The 2,389-nt window shown below is 59.1% G+C and overlaps 3 annotated features.

The window, feature by feature from the left end:
* Positions 1,028 to 1,949: an enhancer, noted in NCBI's record as "H3K27ac-H3K4me1 hESC enhancer chr10:833618-834539 (GRCh37/hg19 assembly coordinates)". NCBI's record gives its function as "activates a minimal SCP1, AML or CMV promoter by ChIP-STARR-seq in naive H9 embryonic stem cells {active_cell/tissue: H9 hESC(naive)}" and the evidence as "EXISTENCE:reporter gene assay evidence [ECO:0000049][PMID:30033119]".
* Positions 2,245 to 2,389: an enhancer, noted in NCBI's record as "145 bp enhancer 225 fragment used in the MPRA reporter construct; PK_construct_2169". NCBI's record gives its function as "activates an SV40 promoter by MPRA in HepG2 cells {active_cell/tissue: HepG2}" and the evidence as "EXISTENCE:reporter gene assay evidence [ECO:0000049][PMID:23512712]".
* Positions 2,311 to 2,324: a transcriptional cis regulatory region, noted in NCBI's record as "HNF4 motif; enhancer activity is reduced when this motif is scrambled". NCBI's record gives its function as "necessary for full MPRA enhancer 225 activity {active_cell/tissue: HepG2}" and the evidence as "EXISTENCE:site-directed mutagenesis evidence [ECO:0005528][PMID:23512712]".

Consider the following 2,389-nt stretch of genomic DNA (forward strand, 5'->3'; position numbering starts at 1 on the left):
GTGCGGGGGCGGGGTGGGGCGGGGGTCCTCGTCTCGGGTAAGGGTGTGGCCAGCACGGGGTCCAGGCCTTTCTCTTCTCCCAGGAGACCGCCTTGAATGTAAATCTGACATCACTGCCCACTGCCCTCAGGGTCAGCTCAGACCCTCTGTGCAGCCGTTTGGGTGGACACCCCACGCCTGCCCCCAGCCGGCTCTCAGGCCTCAGGCTACCAGGGTCCCTGTGTCTCCGCACACGACGCTGCTCCATGTTTGCTGGATGACTTCGCCTTGTCCGCGGCCGAGTCCACCTGCTCCTTGAGGCCCTACCTAAACGCACTGCCTCTTCCTCCCCACTTTCTGCAGAACCACCCCGCCCTCCTCTCAGACCCCAGACCTGTCCCTTCCTCAGCTGTCACAGGTGCAGCCACGGGCAGCACCGCATCCCCCAAATCCATTCACTGAAGTCTCAGCTTCGACGTGTGGTATTTGGAGACGCAGCCTTTTCAGAGGTAGTTAGGGTAACTGAGCCGGGAGTGTGGGGTCCTGATCCCATGGGCCGTGGCCTCCAGGAGAAGAACAGACACCACGTGCTCCCTGCCTGTGCAGAGGGAAGGCGCGAGGTGGCTCCAGGAACCAGGTCGGCCGGCACCTTGGCCCGGAACTTCCAGCCTCCAGATTGTCAGAAACAAATCCCTGGTGTCTGCGGTGTTGGGGCTGACACGCGCTCTGCCTGGCTGCCAGGTCCTCTGCAGGCGGGGACGGTGCCGGCCATTGCTAGATCCCTGGGGCGCAGCACAGACTGCGGGAAACAGGCTCACCAGCCCGGCTGCACGCACCGAGGCAGCGTCCAGACTCGAGACATCCTCCAGCCACGGGCGAAATCACAGCCATTGCTGCAAAGTTCTTGCGTCCTGTGAAAACTGGATGTGAGCCTCTCTCTGGTGGCAGCTTCTACTAGTGCTTTTTTTTTTTTTTTTTTTTTTTTTTGAGACAGAGTCTCGCTCTGTCGCCCAGGCTGGAGTGCAGTGGCGCGATCTCGGCTCACTGCAAGCTCCGCCTCCCGGGTTCAAGCGATTCTCCTGCCTCAGCCTCCCAATTAGCTGGGATTATAGGCGTGCCCTACCACGCCTGGCTAATTTTTTATATTTTTGGTAAAGACAGGGTTTCACCATGTTGGCCAGGCTGGTCTCAAACTCCTGACTTCAAGTGATTCACCTGCCTTGGTCTCCCAAAGTGCTGGGATTACAGGCGTGAGCCACCGTGCCTGGTGAGAGTTGGGTTTTAGTTTTATTTTGTTTTTCACAGATTCCGGGGGTTGAATGGCAAAGAGGCGGGAGCAGGCGGAGGTCCATATGGAAGTTCAGACTCACCCCGCAGGAGTTCTGGCTGGGAGGCTGCCAGGACAGGCAGGATGTGGGAGCCGCCCTGGGAGGCCCCTCACTCTCCCCACACTGACCTCACATCCCCGTTACGTTCCTCATCCCAGGCTGGGCCAGCCACTGGGCGCTGGACAGAGCTTAGGAAGTAGGATGGCTCCGGGTGGGTTAGAAACCAGGTGCACGGCAGAAGCCGGCCTGGAGCCGCCCACAGCCCCAGCCATCCTTGGAGGGCCCCAGCCGAAGGAGCTGGTGCAGCTGGACACAGAGACCCGCTGGTGATGGGACCGGGCCACACGCTCCTGCAGGGCCCAAGCCGAGACCCCTGGCTGGAGGGTCAGCACCCAGGGTGGCAGCAGCTGCAGGGGGTCTAGGGAAGGACCGGGAGCAGAGCCTCAGCTCGTGCTGCTGCTCCATACACAGAACGCGCTGCGCAGGGGATCCTAGGCTTCCTGGGAGTCACATTAAAAAGCAACGTGAGACGGGCGGGGTTAATTCTGACGGTGATGTGTCCTCTGACCACATATCGCTAACGCACCATCATCCTGGTGTGGACTCGGAGGAAACACCACATGGCTTCTCTTGCCAAACCACCCACGTGTGGCAGGTGGTCACCGTGGAGCACGGGGGCCCAGTGTTTCTCAGACTGAAATCACACACAGACCCTCTTTAACAGAAACGAAAGTCTTGCCACTGCCCAGGGTTTTGATTTAATGGCTACTTATGCTGTACAAACAGCTTAATAAAACTGGGCACAAGCTCTTGCTGACTTGTATTCCGCCATAAAGCCGAATAGCCGCAAATAAAACAAATGTAATTAAAAACCAACATGAACATAACTTGGTGGGTGATGTTTTGCCGAGACAGCGCTGGCTCCAGAGGCCACTCTGGGGCAGGGGGACGTCGGCTTGGCTGTCCTCTGTGCGCTCCAGCTGGGAGGCCGCTTGGCCCCGCTGGGCTCAAAGGTCCCCCTGACGGACGTGCCTTGATGTTGCCACGTTGGACGGGATTAAAGTGCTGAGGCTGCTGTGACG

This window comes from Homo sapiens, chromosome 10, assembly GCF_000001405.40.
Source record: "Homo sapiens chromosome 10, GRCh38.p14 Primary Assembly".
Lineage (NCBI taxonomy): Eukaryota > Metazoa > Chordata > Mammalia > Primates > Hominidae > Homo > Homo sapiens.